The sequence below is a fragment of the Homo sapiens genome, chromosome 1 (assembly GCF_000001405.40).
Source record: "Homo sapiens chromosome 1, GRCh38.p14 Primary Assembly".
Lineage (NCBI taxonomy): Eukaryota > Metazoa > Chordata > Mammalia > Primates > Hominidae > Homo > Homo sapiens.
Window position 1 is genome coordinate 247,882,864 of NC_000001.11, and position 21,010 is coordinate 247,903,873.

The 21,010-nt window shown below is 42.1% G+C and overlaps 1 protein-coding gene across 1 annotated transcript; it reads left to right on the forward strand.

Moving 5' to 3' along the window:
* OR2W3 (olfactory receptor family 2 subfamily W member 3) lies at positions 12,724-13,668 on the forward strand. Its single transcript, NM_001001957.2, has one exon. It carries the CDS (start codon positions 12,724-12,726, stop codon positions 13,666-13,668), a length of 945 nt encoding a protein of 314 aa, NP_001001957.2.

Here is a 21,010-nt window from a genome sequence, read left to right on the forward strand (position 1 = left end):
AATAAATAAAAATAGAACAGGCCATGCTGTAGCTCCTTAATGTAATAATACACTTTATGTGATTTTTTTCACTATGTAGGACAATGGGTTCTTTCTCTTTCATACACAAAAATATTAGTAAAAAGAAGATGTCAAAATATTTTGGCCCTATTTTCAGCAGATAAAACGAGAGAGAAAAAACAAAATGCATGATTCTGTTCTAGGTAGCATGGGACCAATTATGCCTCAGCTGTTTTCTTAGCCGTATAATGATTGTTGGGAACAGGGGAGGGGAGCAAATGGCTCATTGGTATTTATGGTTTTAGAACAGCAATGAATTGAGTCCCCTAATTTTACTTATGTGAGGTAGTAAATTCTTTTTATATCAAGGGACAAATTCTCATGGTGCTCATTTTCTCTCTGGACCTGACGGGAGATTGGGCAATTTGATGTGGTGCGCGCCTCTGCCTCAGTGGATGTGCTGGTGATCCCTGTGGGTCTGAAGTTTCCCCAGCGCTTTGGGCTGCTGATGAACCCAGGCTGCCATCAGGGTCCGTCTCCAGTCTTCCCTCAGCGGAGCTGCAACACTGCGTAATTGCAAGAAACCCCTGTTCACCAATACTGTGGGCCATTGCATTTATAAGGAATGGGCCAAGCCTGAGAGAGGCACTTGGATTTCCTTACGCCTGGCTACAGCACCTGTGTGCGCCCAAGAGGGTAGAAGGCATTTCGTGACCTGGCTGAGGCCCTCTCGCTATGTCTGTGTTCCTGCATTCTTTCAGTGTTGCCTAGCAGCATGCAAGTGAAAATGGTGAGCAGGTTTCTGGATTGAGGAACTCAGCTCAGAGGTCTGCACGTCTAGGTTGGTTTGTTAAATGAATAAGTCATAGGGAGTGCCTCAAGGGTTAAAAAAATCTGAAGAACATACTCCTTGCTCTTAGAACATTTATAAATTATGACAGGCCGGGCGTGGCGGCTCACGACTGTAATCCCAGCACTTTGGGAGGCCGAGGCGGGCGGATCACGAGGTCAGGAGATCGAGACCATCCTGGCTAACACGGTGAAACCCCGTCTCTACTAAAAATACAAAAAAATTAGCCGGGCATGGTGGTGGGCGCCTGTAGTCCCAGCTACTTGGGAGGCTGAGGCAGGAGAATGGCGTGAACCCGGGAGGCAGAGCTTGCAGTGAGCCGAGATCGCGCCCCTGCACTCCAGCCTGGGCGACAGAGCGAAACTCAGTCTCAAAAAAAAAAAAAAAATTATGACAGACACACCAACACACAAAGACATACACAGACAGCACTTATATCACAAGTCGTTTAATTATAACAAAGCACTACATCTACCAATGCAAAATTATTATTATTACTATTATTATTATTATTATGTTTGAGACAGTGTTTCGCTCTGTCTCCCGGGCTGGTGTACAATGGGGTGGTCTCGGCTCACTATAACCTCCGCCTCTCGGGTGCTAGTGATTCTCCTGCCTCAGCCTCCCGAGTAGCTGGGATTACAGGCATACGCCACCACGCACGACTAATTTCTTTTTTTTTTGTATTTTTAGTAGAGATGGGGTTTTCCATGTTGGTCAGGCTGACCTCGAACTCCCAACCTCAGGTGATCCACCTGCCTCAGCCTCCCAAAGTGCTGGGATTACAGGCGTGAGCCACCGTGCCCGTTCTAATGAGAGTCTTCTTTAACCTCCACTTCACTTTCTAAAAGTGAGTCTCTTTTTGGCGGGGGTCGGGGAGGACAGGGTCTCACTCTGTCGCCCAGGCTGAGGTGCCAGTGGCATGATCACAGCTCACTGCAGCCTCGACCTCCTGGGCCCATTGACCCCCGTACCTCAGTCTCTTGAGTAGCTGGGACCACACCTTTGTGCGACCGTGCCGGGCTAAGGTTTAATTTTGACTTTTGTACAGATGGTGTCTCCCCATGTTGCCCAAGCTAGAAATGAGCCTTTTCAACAATTTCAAACCGTACGTCCAGATATCAGTTCTGTTTGAATACAAATACAGTCATGCGTTGCTTAACGATGGGGATGTGTTCTGAGAAAGGCGTCGTTAGGTGATGTTGTCGTTGTGTGAGCATCACAGCATGTACTTACACAAACCCAGATGGTGTATCCTACCACAATCCTGGGCCATAAGTGTCTGGGATAGCTTGTCACTCCTAGGCTACAGACGAGTACAGCATGGTACTGTAGTGAATACTGAAGACAGCTGTCACTCCGTGGTAAGTATATGTGTATCTAAATATAGAAAAGGCACAGTAAAAATACTGTATAAAATACAGAAAATGGTAACCTGTCTAGGGCATTTACCATGAATGGAGCTTGCAGGACTGGAAGTTGCTCTGGGTGAGTCAGTGAGTGGGTGGTGACTGAATGTGAAGAGCCAGGACAGTCGTGTACATGACTACAGACTTTATCAACTTTGTACACTTAGTCTATATTAAATGCATTAAAAAGTATTTTTCTTTCTTCAATTAGAAACTATCCTTAGTTTATGGAAACATTTTTACATTGTAAACCTTTTACTTTTTATTAACTTTGTGACTTTTTTTGTAATAGCACTTAGCTTAAAACACACATTGTAAAACTGTATTAAATACTTCCTTTTTATTCTTATTCTACAAGTTATATTCTATTTTTTTTTTTTTTTCACTTTTCAAACTTTTTCATTGCAAACTAAGACACAAGCAAACACATTAGCCTGGGTGTCCACTGAGACAGAATGATCAGTACCACTGTCTTCCACCTCTACACCTTGTCCCACTGGAAGGATTTCCGGGGCAGCCACATGCATGGAGCTGTCACCTCCTATGATCACAATGCCTTCTACGATACTGCCTGAAGGACCTGCCTCAGACTCCTCTTGAGGAGGTGAAACCACCACAGATGTAATTTGTTGTTGACCAAAATGTGTTGTTCTGCAACATGTGCCTGTATACATATATACGTACCGTGTGTATTTGTGTTTGTATAGTGAGAGTTTGTGAACAAAAAATGGAGTCACACTACATATAATCTCACTATACATTATATTTAGCTTTCTTTCTTTTTTTTTTTGTTTTTTGAGATGGAGTCTCGCTCCGTCACCAGGCTGGAGTGCAGTGGTGCGATCTTGCCTCACTGCAACCTCCGCCTCCCGGGTTCAAGCGATTCTCCTGCCTCAGCCTCCTAAGTAGCTGGGGTTACAAGCATGTGCCACCATGCCTGGCTAATTTTTGTATATTTTAGTAGAGATGGGGTTTCACCATCCTGGCCAGGCTGGTCTCGAACTCCTGACCTCGTGATCCACCCTCCTCAGCCTCCCAAAGTGCTGGGATTACAGGCGTGAGGCACCGCACCCAGTATAGTTAGCTTTCTACTTGTTTGATATTAATATCTTTTTTTTGGACAAAATTCTGGGTAATGTCATTCCAATTTAGTGATTGTTTCCAGTCGTCTATTAAATCATGTCTATCACTTTAACATACCTTGTTTCCCAGTATTATCTATTTCAGTAGATGCTATAATGAAGTTTTTGAGAGTATGTGTTTACTGATTGAGGGTTAATAAATGCAAAGCAGATTCCTAGATGTGGAATTAACAGGGCAATGAGAAAAGCATGTCATTTAACATTTTATGAAAGACAGATATTTCTTTTGTTAAAATAATATGTACTATGTCAAGGTATATGTGTATTTAAATAGTCATTTTTTTAAGATCTCTCCAAAGATACTATTTCAATTTTGACTCTTATCAAGAGTTCATGAGGCCAGGCATGATGGCTCATACCTGTAATCCTGGCACTTTGGGAGTCCAAGATGGGTGGATCGCTTGAGATCAGGAGTTCAAGACCAGCCTGGGCAACATGGCAAAACCCCATCTCAACTAAATATACAAAAATTAGCTGGGTGTGGTGGCACATGCCTGTAATCTCAGCTACTTGGGAGGCTGAGGCAGGAGAACCTGGGAGGATGAGGCTGCAGTGAGCCCAGATCACACCACTGCACTCCAGCCTGAGTGATACAGTGAGACTCTGTCTCAAAAAAAAAAAAAAAAGTTTATGAGATTGGACTTATTTCCCACATTTTTTCAAGCTCTGGATATTACCACACTTTTCACTATTTACCTATCTGGAAAAGCAAATATCTTTATATTTAAATTTTTATAACCTCAATCATCAGTGAAAACATTTCTAATGTTTATATCACTTGCTTGTAAATCATGCATTTTCCTGTGAACTGTTTCTTCAAGTCATTACATATTTTTCTTTTACTACAGGTTTTTCTTGCCACTTTTTTGAGAAAAAAATTAAGTAAGGTAGCCTTCAGTTGTCTTGTTGAATTTTTCTACTATTGTTATTATTTTTTAGACTTTGCTAGTAGTGTTTCTTTTTGTTTTGTTTTGTTTTGTTTTTGAGACAGAGTCTTACTCTGTCACCCAAGCTGGAGTGCAGTGACACGATCTCGGCTCACTGCAACCTCCGCCTCCCGGGTTCACGCTATTCTTCTGCCTCAACCTCCCGAGTAGCTGGGATTACAGGTGTGCACCACCACACCTATGTAATTTTTGTATGTTTAGTAGAGAAGGGCTTTCACTGTGTTGGCCAGGCTAGTTGTGAACTCCTGACCTCAGGTGATCCACCCACCTTGGCCTCCCAAAGGGCTGGGATTACAGGCATGAGCCACCGCACCTGGCCAAAAGTGTTTCTTAGAGTGTAAATTTTTCTAAATAGGTAATACAATTTATCTATGTTTTGCTTTTTAACTTTCGAGAATTGCAACTTGGCTTATGATGTATACTTATTCAAGATAATTGGGAAAAAAAGGAAAAATAACTGTCATGCTTTCTGATTGTAGTTGTATTTTTTAAATGTTTAAATATATAATTTGTAATTTTATATTTTTGGTGTAGGTAATAAAGAAGCGACCCACACTCCCTTCCTCCCACAAATGCCTTGTCAGTTATCATGATGTAGTTATTGTATTTTGAAAGCTTGATTAGATATAAGATAGTTTCTCTTCAGTAGGCTTTTTTTCTTCTGGATTTCTCTGGCTAGACTTATGGGCTTGTGTTTCTGTTCTGTGTTTGCATGACACTTCACCTTTTTTTGTAACATATGTAGAAACCTTGACACTCACTGAACTTGTATATGTTTTATATATTTATATTTCACATTAAAAACTCTCAAAGCATAGCTGTAAACTAAGTAAGGTAGGTTTGATTATTACCATTTTAGATGAGAAAACTGTGAAAAGACAAATGAGCTTGCTGACATCTTGTAATTTAGTCTTGTTGGCATAGGGATAATGCAGAGTAGTTTGGAGCTGTAGCCCAAAATGTATGCATGTATTTATTTATTTATATATTTATTTATTTTTTAACAAAGAAAAAATGTATTTATTGAGCATTCACTACAAAAACTAGTTTTTCTGTAGGCAGAGATCTTAATGATTTTTTTTAATTAATTTATTTATTTTTTCTTTTTTTATTTATTTTTTAATTATACTTTAAGTTTTAGGGTACATGTGCACATTGTGCAGGTTAGTTACATATGTATACATGTGCCATGCTGGTGCGCTGCACCCACTAACTCGTCATCTAGCATTAGGTATATCTCCCAATGCTATCCCTCCTCCCTCCCCCCTCCCCACCACAGTCCCCAGAGTGTGATATTCCCCTTCCTGTGTCCATGTGATCTCATTGTTCAATTCCCATCTATGAGTGAGAATATGTGGTGTTTGGTTTTTTGTTCTTGCGATAGTTTACTGAGAATGATGGTTTCCAATTTCATCCATGTCCCTACAAAGGACATGAACTCATCATTTTTTATGGCTGCATAGTATTCCATGGTGTATATGTGCCACATTTTCTTAATCCAGTCTATCATTGTTGGACATTTGGGTTAGTTCCAAGTCTTTGCTATTGTGAATAATGCCGCAATAAACATACGTGTGCATGTGTCTTTATAGAAGCATGATTTATAGTCCTTTGTGTATATACCCAGTAATGGGATGGCTGGGTCAAATGGTATTTCTAGTTCTAGATCCCTGAGGAATCGCCACACTGACTTCCACAATGGTTGAACTAGTTTACAGTCCCACCAACAGTGTAAAAGTGTTCCTATTTCTCCACATCCTCTCCAGCACCTGTTGTTTCCTGACTTTTTAATGATTGCCATTCTAACTGGTGTGAGATGATATCTCATAGTGGTTTTGATTTGCATTTCTCTGATGGCCAGTGATGATGAGCATTTTTTCATGTGTTTTTTGGCTGCATAAATGTTTTCTTTTGAGAAGTGTCTGTTCATGTCCTTCGCCCACTTTTTGATGGGGTTGTTTTTTTCTTGTAAATTTGTTTGAGTTCATTGTAGATTCTGGATATTAGCCCTTTGTCAGATGAGTAGGTTGCAAAAATTTTCTCCCATGTTGTAGGTTGCCTGTTCACTCTGATGGTAGTTTCTTTTGCTGTGCAGAAGCTCTTTAGTTTAATTAGATCCCATTTGTCAATTTTGGCTTTTGTTGCCATTGCTTTTGGTGTTTTGGACATGAAGTCCTTGCCCACGCCTATGTCCTGAATGGTAATGCCTAGGTTTTCTTCTAGGGTTTTTATGGTTTTAGGTCTAACGTTTAAATCTTTAATCCATCTTGAATTGATTTTTGTATAAGGTGTAAGGAAAGGATCCAGTTTCAGCTTTCTACATATGGCTAGCCAGTTTTCCCAGCACCATTTATTAAAAAGGGAATCCTTTCCCCATTCCTTGTTTTTCTCAGGTTTGTCAAAGATCAGATAGTTGTAGGTAAGCGGCGTTATTTCTGAGGGCTCTGTTCTGTTCCGTTGATCTATATCTCTGTTTTGGTACCAGTACCATGCTGTTTTGGTTACTGTAGCCTTGTAGTATAGTTTGAAGTCAGGTAGTGTGATGCCTCCAGCTTTGTTCTTTTGGCTTAGGATTGACTTGGCGATGCAGGCTCTTTTTTGGTTCCATATGAACTTTAAAGTAGTTTTTTCCAATTCTGTGAAGAAAGTCATTGGTAGCTTGATGGGGATGGCATTGAATCTGTAAATTACCTTGGGCAGTATGGCCATTTTCACGATATTGATTCTTCCTACCCATGAGCATGGAATGTTCTTCCATTTGTTTGTATCCTCTTTTATTTCCTTGAGTAGTGGTTTGTAGTTCTCCTTGAAGAGGTCCTTCACATCCCTTGTAAGTTGGATTCCTAGGTATTTTATTCTCTTTGAAGCAATTGTGAATGGGAGTTCACTCATGATTTGGCTCTCTGTTTGTCTGTTGTTGGTGTATAGGAATGCTTGTGATTTTTGTACATTGATTTTGTATCCTGAGACTTTGCTGAAGTTGCTTATCAGCTTAAGGAGATTTTGGGCTGAGACAATGGGGTTTTCTAGATAAACAATCATGTCGTCTGCAAACAGGGACAATTTGACTTCCTCTTTTCCTAATTGAATACCCTTTATTTCCTTCTCCTGCCTAATTGCCCTGGCCAGAACTTCCAACACTATGTTGAATAGGAGTGGTGATAGAGGGCATCCCTGTCTTGTGCCAGTTTTCAAAGGGAATGCTTCCAGTTTTTGCCCATTCAGTATGATATTGGCTGTGGCTTTGTCATAGATAGCTCTTATTATTTTGAGATACGTCCCATCAATACCTAATTTATTGAGAGTTTTTAGCATGAAGGGTTGTTGAATTTTGTCAAAGGCCTTTTCTGCATCTATTGAGATAATCATGTGGTTTTTGTCTTTGGCTCTGTTTATATGCTCGATTACATTTATTGATTTGCGTATATTGAACCAGCCTTGCATCCCAGGGATGAAGCCCACTTGATCATGGTGGATAAGCTTTTTAATGTGCTGCTGGATTCAGTTTGCCAGTATTTTATTGAGGATTTTTGCATCAATGTTCATCAAGGATATTGGTCTAAAATTCTCTTTTTTGGTTGTGTCTCTGCCTGGCTTTGGTATCAGAATGATGCTGGCCTCATACAATGAGTTAGGGAGGATTCCCTCTTTTTCTATTGATTGGATTAGTTTCAGAAGGAATGGTACCAGTTCCTCCTTGTACCTCTGGTAGAATTCAGCTGTGAATCCATCTGGTCCTGGACTCTTTTTGGTTGGTAAACTATTGATTATTGCCACAATTTCAGCTCCTGTTATTGGTCTATTCAGAGATTCAACTTCTTCCTGGTTTAGTCTTGGGAGAGTGTATGTGTCGAGGAATTTATCCATTTCTTCTAGATTTTCTAGTTTATTTGCGTAGAGGTGTTTGTAGTATTCTCTGATGGTAGTTTGTATTTCTGTGGGATCGGTGGTGATATCCCATTTATCATTTTTTATTGTGTCTATTTGATTCTTCTCTCTTTTTTTCTTTATTAGTCTTGCTAGCGGTCTATCAATTTTGTTGATCCTTTCAAAAAACCAGCTCCTGGATTCATTGATTTTTTGAAGGGTTTTTTGTGTCTGTATTTCCTTCAGTTCTGCTCTGATTTTAGTTATTTCTTGCCTTCTGCTAGCTTTTGAATGTGTTTGCTGTTGCTTTTCTAGTTCTTTTAATTGTGATGTTAGGGTGTCAATTTTGGATCTTTCCTGCTTTCTCTTGTGGGCATTTAGTGCTATAAATTTCCCTCTACACACTGCTTTGAATGCGTCCCAGAGATTCTGGTATGTTGTGTCATTGTTCTTGTTGGTTTCAAAGAACATCTTTATTTCTGCCTTCTTTTTGTTATGTACCCAGTAGTCATTCAGGAGCAGGTTGTTCAGTTTCCATGTAGTTGAGCGGCTTTGAGTGAGATTCTTAATCCTGAGTTCTAGTTTGATTGCACTGTGGTCTGAGAGATAGTTTGTTACAATTTCTGTTCTTTTACATTTGCTGAGGAGAGCTTTACTTCCAACTATGTGGTCAATTTTGGAATAGGTGTGGTGTGGTGCTGAAAAAAATGTATATTCTGTTGATTTGGGGTGGAGAGTTCTGTAGATGTCTATTAGGTCCGCTTGGTGCAGAGCTGTGTTCAATTCCTGGGTATCCTTGTTGACTTTCTGTCTCGTTGATCTGTCTAATGTTGACAGTAGGGTGTTAAAGTCTCCCATTATTAATGTGTGGGAGTCTAAGTCTCTTTGTAGGTCACTCAGGACTTGCTTTATGAATCTGGGTGCTCCTGTATTGGGTGCATATATATTTAGGATAGTTAGCTCCTCTTGTTGAATTGATCCTTTACCATTATGTAATGGCCTTCTTTGTCTCTTTTGATCTTTGTTGGTTTAAAGTCTGTTTTATCAGAGACTAGGATTGCAACCCCTGCCTTTTTTTGTTTTCCATTTGCTTGGTAGATCTTCCTCCATCCTTTTATTTTGAGCCTATGTGTGTCTCTGCACGTGAGATGGGTTTCCTGAATACAGCACACTGATGGGTCTTGACTTTTTATCCAACTTGCCAGTCTGTGTCTTTTAATTGGAGAATTTAGTCCATTTACATTTAAGGTTAATATTGTAATGTGTGAATTTGATCCTGTCATTATGATGTTAGCTGGTGATTTTGCTCGTTAGTTGATGCAGTTTCTTCCTAGTCTCAATGGTCTTTACATTTTGGCATGATTTTGCAGCGGCTGGTACCGGTTGTTCCTTTCCATGTTTAGCACTTCCTTCAGGAGCTCTTTTGGGGCAGGCCTGGTGGTGACAAAATCTCTCAGCGTTTGCTTGTCTGTAAAGTATTTTATTTCTCCTTCACTTATGAAGCTTAGTTTGGCTGGATATGAAATTCTGGGTTGAAAATTCTTTTCTTTAAGAATGTTGAATATTGGCCCCCACTCTCTTCTGGCTTGTAGGGTTTCTGCCAAGAGATCCGCTGTTAGTCTGATGGGCTTCCCTTTGAGGGTAACCCGACCTTTCTCTCTGGCTGCCCTTAACATTTTTTCCTTCATTTCAACTTTGGTGAATCTGACAATTATGTGTCTTGGAGTTGCTCTTCTCAAGGAGTATCTTTGTGGCGTTCTCTGTATTTCCTGAATCTGAACGTTGGCCTGCCTTGCTATATTGGGGAAGTTCTCCTGGATAATATCCTGCAGACTGTTTTCCAACTTGATTCCATTCTCCGCATCACTTTCAGGTACACCAATCAGACGTAGATTTGGTCTTTTCACATAGTCCCATATTTCTTGGAGGCTTTGCTCATTTCTTTTTATTCTTTTTTCTCTAAACTTCCCTTCTCGCTTCATTTCATTTATTTCATCTTCCATTGCTGATACCCTTTCTTCCAGTTGATCGCATCGGCACCTGAGGCTTCTGCATTCTTCATGTAGTTCTCGAGCCTTGGTTTTCAGCTCCTTCAGCTCCTTTAAGCACTTCTCTGTATTGGTTATTCTAGTTATACATTCTTCTAAATTTTTTTCAAAGTTTTCAACTTCTTTGCCTTTGGTTTGAATGTCCTCCCGTAGCTCAGAGTAATTTGATCGTCTGAAGCCTTCTTCTCTCAGCTCGTCAAAATCAATCTCCATCCAGCTTTGTTCTGTTGCTGGTGAGGAACTGCGTTCCTTTGGAGGAGGAGAGGCGCTCTGCGTTTTAGAGTTTCCAGTTTTTCTGTTCTGTTTTTTCCCCATCTTTGTGGTTTTATCTACTTTTGGTCTTTGATGATGGTGATGTACAGATGGGTTTTTGGTGTGGATGTCCTTTCTGTTTGTTAGTTTTCCTTCTAACAGACAGGACCCTCAGCTGCAGGTCTGTTGGAATACCCTGCCGTGTGAGGTGTCAGTGTGCCCCTGCTGGGGGGTGCCTCCCAGTTAGGCTGCTCGGGGGTCAGGGGTCAGGGACCCACTTGAGGAGGCAGTCTGCCCGTTCTCAGATCTCCAGCTGCATGCTGGGAGAACCACTGCTCTCTTCAAAGCTGTCAGACAGGGACATTTAAGTCTGCAGAGGTTACTGCTGTCTTTTTGTTTGTCTGTGCCCTGCCCCCAGAGGTGGAGCCTACAGAGGCAGGCAGGCCTCCTTGAGCTGTGGTGGGCTCCACCCAGTTCGAGCTTCCAGGCTGCTTTGTTTACCTAAGCAAGCCTGGGCAATGGCGGGCGCCCCTCCCCCAGCCTCGCTGCTGCCTTGCAGTTTGATCTCAGACTGCTGTGCTAGCAATCAGCGAGATTGCATGGGCGTAGGACCCTCCGAGCCAGGTGTGGGATATAGTCTCGTGGTGCGCCGTTTTTTAAGCCGGTCTGAAAAGCGCAATATTCGGGTGGGAGTGACCTGATTTTCCAGGTGCGTCCGTCACCCCTTTCTTTGACTGGGAAAGGGAACTCCCTGACCCCTTGCGCTTCCCAGGTGAGGCAATGCCTCGCCCTGCTTCGGCTTGTGCACGGTGCGCGCACCCACTGGCCTGCGCCCACTGTCTGGCACTCCCTAGTGAGATGAACCCGGTACCTCAGATGGAAATGCAGAAATCACCTGTCTTCTGCGTCGCTCACGCTGGGAGCTGTAGACCGGAGCTGTTCCTATTCGGCCATCTTCGCATGTATTTATTTTTATTTGTCTTAGTTTGGGAGTACTGTTTTGTTACCTCCACGTATGGATTTATATTAATTTGCGAGTACTGCTTTTTACCTGCACATACATGCTTATATCTATTTATATTAATTTGGGAGTACTGCTTTTTACCTGCACATACATACTTATATCTATTTATATTAATTTGGGAGTACTGCTTTTTACCTGCACATACATACTTATATCTATTTATATTAATTTGGGAGTACTGCTTTTTACCTGCACATACATGCTTATATCTATTTATATTAATTTGGGGGTACTGCTTTTTAGCTGCATGTATTGCACAGTGGCGAAGTCTTGGCTTTTAATGCATCCATCACCCAAACACCAGGATGGACCAAGTCTCCCTATATCCATCTGTAAGACTTGTGGTTTGTCTTATCAAATATGCTTTGCTTTGAATGTGATGTGGTATTAGAGTTGGAACGTGATAGAGGTTTCTGTACATATGCGTGAATTTTGCATTACAGTTGTAATATCTGTTACAAAGTTTTTTCAATCTCTTTTATCCTCTCAAGCAGTATATAGTACTTTGGAAGAAAAACCCATACACTCTATTTGTTCAATACCAGGCCCATTTAAAAGACAGAGAGAAAAAAAGAGATTTTATGTGTATTTTGCCTGTCTCTTACATTATTTATCTACTGAGGTAATTTTAAAATTAAATTAAATTAAATTCTGAGGTAATTTAAAAATTACCTCAGTAATGGTAACCCAATGAATGAGGTGTGTCTTTGAGACCAGTAATAGATAAAGTACTCTGTGTGTAAAGAGTATTTCCTAAATACTATTGATGGATTATTTTGAGGCTCCATTTTGAGTCCTTGAGGTTTTTGGCAGGAGCCTAGGGACTGGAGTCTCTAGAAAAATTCGTGGTTTGGCCACAGCAGGATTTGCCTTCACTTCACTGGATTTGGAGGCAGTGCTACTGGTGGTTTAGATTGCACACTCTCAGCTACATTGCCGGGGTTCAGAATCAGCTCTGTGTCTTCCTACATATCACAGTTTGCTCAACACACATGTGTTTCAGTTTCCTTTTCTATAAGTTGGGAGCTAATAATAATAGTGCAACTCCATATAACTGTTGGGGTTGAATGAATAAAATAAATATAAAAAGCATAGAAGAATGCTTAGCTTCTAGTAAGTTCTCCCTTAATATCAGCTGTTATTATTATTATTAGGATTGATATTTCTGTTCAGCAGCAGTAGAGATGGATGGAACCAATGGCAGCACCCAAACCCATTTCATCCTACTGGGATTCTCTGACCGACCCCATCTGGAGAGGATCCTCTTTGTGGTCATCCTGATCGCGTACCTCCTGACCCTCGTAGGCAACACCACCATCATCCTGGTGTCCCGGCTGGACCCCCACCTCCACACCCCCATGTACTTCTTCCTCGCCCACCTTTCCTTCCTGGACCTCAGTTTCACCACCAGCTCCATCCCCCAGCTGCTCTACAACCTTAATGGATGTGACAAGACCATCAGCTACATGGGCTGTGCCATCCAGCTCTTCCTGTTCCTGGGTCTGGGTGGTGTGGAGTGCCTGCTTCTGGCTGTCATGGCCTATGACCGGTGTGTGGCTATCTGCAAGCCCCTGCACTACATGGTGATCATGAACCCCAGGCTCTGCCGGGGCTTGGTGTCAGTGACCTGGGGCTGTGGGGTGGCCAACTCCTTGGCCATGTCTCCTGTGACCCTGCGCTTACCCCGCTGTGGGCACCACGAGGTGGACCACTTCCTGCGTGAGATGCCCGCCCTGATCCGGATGGCCTGCGTCAGCACTGTGGCCATCGAAGGCACCGTCTTTGTCCTGGCGGTGGGTGTTGTGCTGTCCCCCTTGGTGTTTATCCTGCTCTCTTACAGCTACATTGTGAGGGCTGTGTTACAAATTCGGTCAGCATCAGGAAGGCAGAAGGCCTTCGGCACCTGCGGCTCCCATCTCACTGTGGTCTCCCTTTTCTATGGAAACATCATCTACATGTACATGCAGCCAGGAGCCAGTTCTTCCCAGGACCAGGGCATGTTCCTCATGCTCTTCTACAACATTGTCACCCCCCTCCTCAATCCTCTCATCTACACCCTCAGAAACAGAGAGGTGAAGGGGGCACTGGGAAGGTTGCTTCTGGGGAAGAGAGAGCTAGGAAAGGAGTAAAGGCATCTCCACCTGACTTCACTTCCATCCAGGGCCACTGGCAGCATCTGGAACGGCTGAATTCCAGCTGATATTAGCCCACGACTCCCAACTTGCCTTTTTCTGGACTTTTGTGAGGCTGTTTCAGTTCTGACATTATGTGTTTTTGTTGTTGCTCTTAAAATTGAGACGGGGTCTCACTCTGTCACCTAGGGTAGAGTGCAGTGGTGCCACCATAGCTCCTTCGACTATTGGGCTTAAGCGATCCTCCCCCACCTCAGCCTTCCAAGTAACTGGGACTACAGGTGTGCATCACTGGCAGTGGGAATTGTGGCTTGTGGCTTTTCTGTCTTCTATGGAGACGGGGTCTTGCTGTGTTGACCAGGCTGGTCCCAAACTCCTGGCCTCATGTGATCCCCCTGCCATGGCCTCCTAAAAGTTCTGGGATTACAAGTGTGAGTCACTGCGACTGGCCAACATTATGTGATTTATGTGTGAACTATATAACACAAATCATCCCCAAAACCCATCATGATCTGTAAAGCAGCTGCAAAGAATGAAGTGAGACAAACAGTTGTAAAGATGAGTTTCCACCTACTTATACCAGAGTGCTAAGAGGAAATAACTCTTCTCAATCAGAGCTTTGCTTTGTTTGTTGTTGTTTGCTTTAAAGTCTAACACACCTGACATGTTTCAGTCAGAATGACCCCAAATGCATCACTGTTCTCCACGTGGTCCAAGTGCCTCTCTGTTTAGGGCCATCAAATCATGGAATGCAGCACAGTTTTATATTTTCTATATTCCCAATTCCTACCCAAACCTTTTCATGAAATCGTAGAGTTTGTTTTACCCTTTATCTGGTGTAAGATTCTGCATAAACCAAGAAGTGAACCTGTAAGTTATGATGCATGGGTTGTTTAAATCTTAAAGCATCATTCTTTCTCAGGCATGTTTTTTTCATTATTAGTAAGAAGAACCTGACATTGGTTTAGTCCCTTCTGTGTACCAGACGCTCCTAAGTCATGCAACCTCAGTATTTGTATGAGGTCAGCATGATTATCATTATTCCCATTTTATCTCCCTGGTCCTTGAGATCTGAAGGTTAAATCTTTTGCTCGAGGGGAACTGAACCAGGGTTTTTTCCAAGTTCTGTCAGACTCCCGATTCATATGGTTTCTATTGCATCATGAAATTTCAAAGAGCAAAAATCCTTAAGCATTTGGCACACAATGTCAAAGACCCTTTGGGGCTAAGGGGCATGACTGGCTACTGTTCCTTACACATTGCAGTCCTCAATGTGTCCCACTAACGTGCCCTCCAGTTATCTGAGGTCTTGTTCCAATGCAATTCCAATTCAGCTGGTGATAAGAGGGGTCTGAGTTTCTGCGACTCTGCAAACCTCCCAGGTGATGTCCCTACTTTGGGGACTCGGACTACATTTTAAGAACCCAGGAAGTATATCACCCCCTGCTCTTGTTCCGGGCATTTGGAGGGTGGACACATTCTGGAAAAAGTTGGGAGAGTGTTCATAGACCAAGGGCGAACACAAGGTGAGAGGGAGTGGTGTGAAAGGCCAGCTGAGGGGTGGTCCTCATTCCTCTGCCGTTGCTCCTGTGCTCGGCTCCCTCCTCCTCCACAAGTGTATTTCTGCGCTCTTTTGTATCCTCCTCACCTCCACACCTCACATCTAAAGTCACCAGCCCCAGGGCATTGTGTAAGTGTAAACAAACCAGAGCCCCAGAGAGGGGGATTCCTGTGCTTCCAGAGCACCCCCTCTGACTATTCAAGGATGCTGTTTGTAAGAAGTACTGATGTGGATGTGTAGTAGGAAGAGCCGCAGACAAAACTCCTCAGACACCGAGTTAGAGAAGGAAGGGGTTTATTCGACCAGGGGCATCGGCAAGACTCCTGTCTCAAGAGCCGAGCTCCCCAAGTGAGCAATTCCCGTCCCTTTTAAGGGCTCACAACTCTAAGGGGGTGCGCGTGAGAGGGTCGTGATCGATTGAGCAAGTAGGGGGTACGTGACTGGGGGCTGGTAATTAGATCGGAACAAAACAGGACAGGGATTTTCACAGTGCTTTTCTATACAATGTCTGTAATCTATAGATAACATAACCGATTATGTCAGGGGTCAATCTTTAACTACCAGGCCCAGGGTGTGGTGCTGGGCTGTCTGCTTGTGGATTTGATATTTGCCTTTTAGTTTTTACTTTTTTTTTCTTTGGAGGCAGAAATTGGGCATAAGACAATATGAGGGGTGGTCTACTCCCTTATTCCCCCCTTTGAGAGTCTCACTCAATAGTGGGAGTTCTCACTTTCATTTTTACTACCCATGTCTTCTGGCAAGACAGATCAATAGTGATTCATATAGTACACTTGTGCTGAAGCTTTTGGTGAACTAAGGTAGTGATGAAGCTTTTTATCATTTGAAGAAGTACAGGTAGCAAACAAAGGAGCAGTAAGTAGGTTCCTATTACTATTATAACTCTTATTATAAGAGTTTTAAATCCTCCTAGCTCTGGGAACCATTTTCTAAACATGGCCCCAGGATCAAATCCGTCACACTTGCATGGGCACGTGTGCCAGTTTTGTCATATCTCTAACTATGTCTTCAAATACTTGCCCTTGATTATCTATGTGTAGGCAGCAATTAATAAGGTTAAATTTCCTACAGACTTCTCCTTCAGCTGCTAGCAAGTAGTCAAGAGCCAATCTGTTTTGATAGATAGCATTTCTCATCTGAGTTTCTTGCTGGGTCAGAATGGTCAAGGCTCTGCCGGTTTTATTAGTGATTATTTTTAAGACAGCTTGTAACCATATGATTTGGTTGATCATGTACATGTGGGTCCGGTATCCTCATGAGCCGTCTTGTACCTAAGTAGCAGGCCCATAATATTGCACGATTCTCTTAGGGGGCCATTTATCATTTTTTCAATTTCTTATAGCTATGCTTCTCTTTTCATGGGAAGCATAGACAGGGAAGCCCAGGAGTTTGCCTGTTTTTATGGGCGGTAGGAAGAAAGATGGTTTAATAGTGCCAATAACACAACTACCTGCCTACTGGTCAGGTAATTTGGCATAAGCTCTATGCCTACATATCCAGTATAATCCAGTGGGGGCCGTCCAGTCCTGGTGGGACTCCAGGTGGGTCCACACGATCTGCAACTTTGGGAATTTATGAAATGGATTTCTCTCTGTGTGATTTGAACTCCACCAAGTGACTGTTTTTGTGGTACCATTATACAGTTTCTGTCTCCGACAACTAAGTCATCCTACAGGGTGAGTAAATTCTTTTCCTTCCCTAGCTATGCAATATTGTCCAATAATTGAGGCGTTTAGGACCTAGAAATTATCAGGGTGATTCTTTTGAGCCGGGAATTCATCAGGAACTGGGTCTGTAGGTACTAATTCTCGGGCTTCCCATGGCCATTGATCTCCCATTACAGTTCCTCCACATACATAATGTGAAGTGACATTGAGAGACTGGGCTACATGCTTGGCTAATTGCAAAAACAAATTTCATGTTTTTCCTGGAATTTCTGGTACTGGCACATTTAGTTCATCATAGAAAGTTTGAAACGCTGGCTCAGGAGAGCGTTTGTAAACTTCTCCTCGAACCAAGATATTTACTCAAGGATCCAGTCCGGCCCCGTCAATTCCTAAGGTCACACGCTCCTCTTTTTCCCAGCGAGGTTCAAGGGGCTTGGTTATTACTAGCTCTAAGGGGTTACATTGTCCCTTAGTACAGGAAGGGCCATTTTTTCCTTTCTGAAGGTGGACTGGATCCTTCTCATTTTTTTTTTTTATCCAAGTGGCCTAAAGGACACAAGACCAGTGTTTACATTTATTTCCACACAGCCCTAATTTATGACAGATGTACTTATTTTCTGCCGTATAGCCTCTTTTCTAATTAAGAGAACCACACCTTATTCCTAACTTATTACTATTAATGACAGCACAGGCATCAAATTTTAAGGTGACTTGTTTGGGCACCCCTTTTTCTTCTGTTTTGGCTAACACTTTACTCGTATCGTTTATGAGCCCCCACCAGTCCTCAGTCCTTAATCTTATTTTAAAAACTGTGGTCATGGGAGGCTCAGATGGGTCATAACACATATCAGATTGGTCATTTCCTGGGCTACATACCTTGTATAGAATAACATTATACAAACAAGTTCTTTTTAGAGTTCCAGTACACTTATAATAACCATAAAATAATAAGACTGTAGCAACCTTTTATCCTACCTCAGCGACTTGATGTATGCACTGGGAACAGCCCCAGTCTGAGGAAGGTCAGTTGAAGTCCTTACTGTACAAGTCCAAATTTTAAGGAAAATGAGTCCCGCGATGAGTTTCCTCATGCTTCAGCCATGCGTGGACCAGTCAGCTTCCAGGTGTGACTGGAGCAGGGCTGGTCGTCTTCTTCAGAGTCACTTTGCAGGGGTTGGCGAAGCTACTCCCATCCACATACAGCTCACAGTCTACTGATGTTTAAGGATGGTCTCAGAGGTTAGGCCTGCTAGAATAAACTGAGTCCAACACCTCTATACAGTTATGTTCAGCTGGGCTCTCTGATACCGGGAGCAAGGTGGTGGGGTTTAGGGTGTTGCAAACTTCAATGGTTATGTGGGGATTTTCACATAGCGAGCTTTGGTACTTGGTTAATCTAGCCTTTGTTAACCAATGATGTCCTTCTGTATTTATTAAAGTTACCACAGCATGGGGGGCCTTTATATCCAGGTTTTGCCTAAGGGTTAGTTTATCTGCTTCTTGTGCTAACAGGGCCCTTGCTGCTAGGGCCCTTAGACCTGGGGGCCAGGCTTTGGAAGCCCTGTCTAGTTGTTTTGAGAGATAGGCCACTGGCCTTGGCCAGGGCCCCACAGTCTGGGTTAAAACTTCAACTGCCATTTTTTCTCTTTCTGACACATAGAGCGTAGAGTTTTGTCAGGTCAGGTGGCCTCAGGGCTGGGGCTGACGTGAGTTTTTCTTTTAACTCATGAAAAGCTTGTTGCTGTTGGTTGTAATAGATGTAGTTTATCTAAACTACATTTTTCTTAACTGTCACCCACCAAAATATTGACTTAAATCCTGCAGCTGTTTGATTTCAAGCTTTAAATTGATCTGCTATTCTTCGTGGGACTCCAGTTGCATTTAAATAGACACGAGAGTCGAAAGACCCGTAAGGGGCTTCTCTCGCTTTACAGTGTCTTATTTTTTTTCCTTCTGGTTGATGAAATGCCAGGGTGAAAGGGATAGCCAATTGGACTAAAGCACAAGTGCCACTCCAGTTATTCAGCAGAGTGCCCAGTAAAGGTCCACCACAATACCACCACACATCCGCTCAGGGATGAACAAGGGCTGACTGATTGATAAGCTCTCGAAAATTCTTAAGCTCACTGCATCCTTTCAGGTATCCAAGGAATGCTAAGTTTCCTCCCTGTCATGAGAGACACGAAATGAACTTAGTGTTGGAAGATGGAAGCTGGATGGCCCTCGGGGGCTGACCCTCAGGGTGCTGGACTTTGGGATATAGCAGAGAGAGCTTGGCACGTCTTGTTACTCCAGACTGTAGAATCCTGGAAAAGAGCTACCATGCAGCCCACGCCTGGTCGACTGGAGGACCACCTTAGTGGAAAGGGGACAATCTGGGCCTCTGGTCTGCCATGTGCACGAGCATAACAATTGCTTTTGTTTAACGTGCAGATGGAATATTTGATCCATTTTAACTAGGCATTTGCATCGTGGTATCCTGTCTTAATTGCTAAAGTTTGTTTTAAGTCTTTAACTTCTATAATCCTCTAGTAAAATGAATGTATGGTTTTAGGAAATTACAAAAACTGGTTGGGGCAGTCCATCCTTGCTCTTTAGTGGTCCACAGAACATTGGACCAACTATGGCAGGGAAGCTCTACATCGGGGGGCAAGACTCCTGGTTGGCACTGGGGTGTTTATCGAAATCTCCCGGGATTAAATGGTCCTAGTTTACTAACGCCCAGTCTGAGGAGAGTCAGGGGGACAGAAGTGCTTTTCTGAAGTAGAGAGCTGTCTTTGACTTGGCACGTCCCCACAGGGTATAAAAGGGCAAGCATTAAATGCAATAGTTTGAGGCAAAATTGACTTGGTTATGTTAATAACTAGAGGGTCAGCAATAGAGCGCGGAAAGAAGAAAGAGTAATAGATGAAAAGCGTTAGATTTTTCTTAGCTTTAGTTTGGTAGGGTTTTCCTCTGGGACTATGGCCCACAACTCTGTGGCGGGGGTGGCACTTTCTTGACTGGGTGTGATGAGTCCATCCTTTTTTGCTGTATGAGCAGCTGTCTTGGTGGTTAGCAGCACAAGGTAGGGTCCTTCCTAGGCTGACTCGAGTTTTTCTTCTTTCCACCTTTCGATGAGAACGTGATCTTCAGGCTGGTGCTGGTTTACTGGAAATTCTGGGGGTAGTACCTGTGCTAAAAGACTTTTAGTTTTTTTTGCGAGAAAGGAAAGTGGAAGATAAACCAAGTATATAGTTTTTAAGAGATTGACCTTTTGTTTTAAATGTGGGGACCTTGGCAGTGGACTTTATAATACTTAGTGCCTTTTTACTGAGAAATTTCCTTTAGCACCTATTTTTATTAGTTTTTAAACCAAAGAAAACCAAATACCATTTTACGTTTAACAATGCTTCTCATATGATTTTTATACTAGATAAGCTAAATTTTATCTTTATATTAGTGTGTTATTAATGTTAAACCTAATTTTAATAAAACCTAGTAGACATTTATTTAATTTTTAATGTTTGACCATAAGGTAAGATTTTATAGACTCTTTTTAACCTTCTATAATTTTTGCTAAAGAGCAGGTTGGTGCTTTAAGAAAAACTTGTTATGCTTTTACTTTAATGTCCAGTTCACAGAAAAACTGGATGATACTTCTTTAACTTTAGCTAATATGTTTACACACATAATTTTCTTTATAACTAATGTTTTAAAACTTGCTTAAACCTTCAAAACAATAATTTTTTAAACTTTTTAATGTAGGTAAAAATGTACATTCTTATGCCTCATAATCCTTTTACTAAAGGTATATTTTACTTATACACCTTGGACATAAACTGTTTTTTTTTTCAATAGTTTTACATTCAGGAGGCCTAGTTACTTTTAAATTATATAACGTTTTTTGCATAAGTTCTTTTTTTAACACACTTTTAAAAATAACCTTTTTTTTTTCTTTCATGACTTTTACAGGCAATTTTTCGACATGCCTTAACTTTCTGACTTATTACAAACATTTCTTTCTTTAAACAACCAGTTAATATATTTCAGGACAAGAATTTACCATATAACACTCTTTTTATATGAATTCCGCCCCCACCCTTTTTTTCCC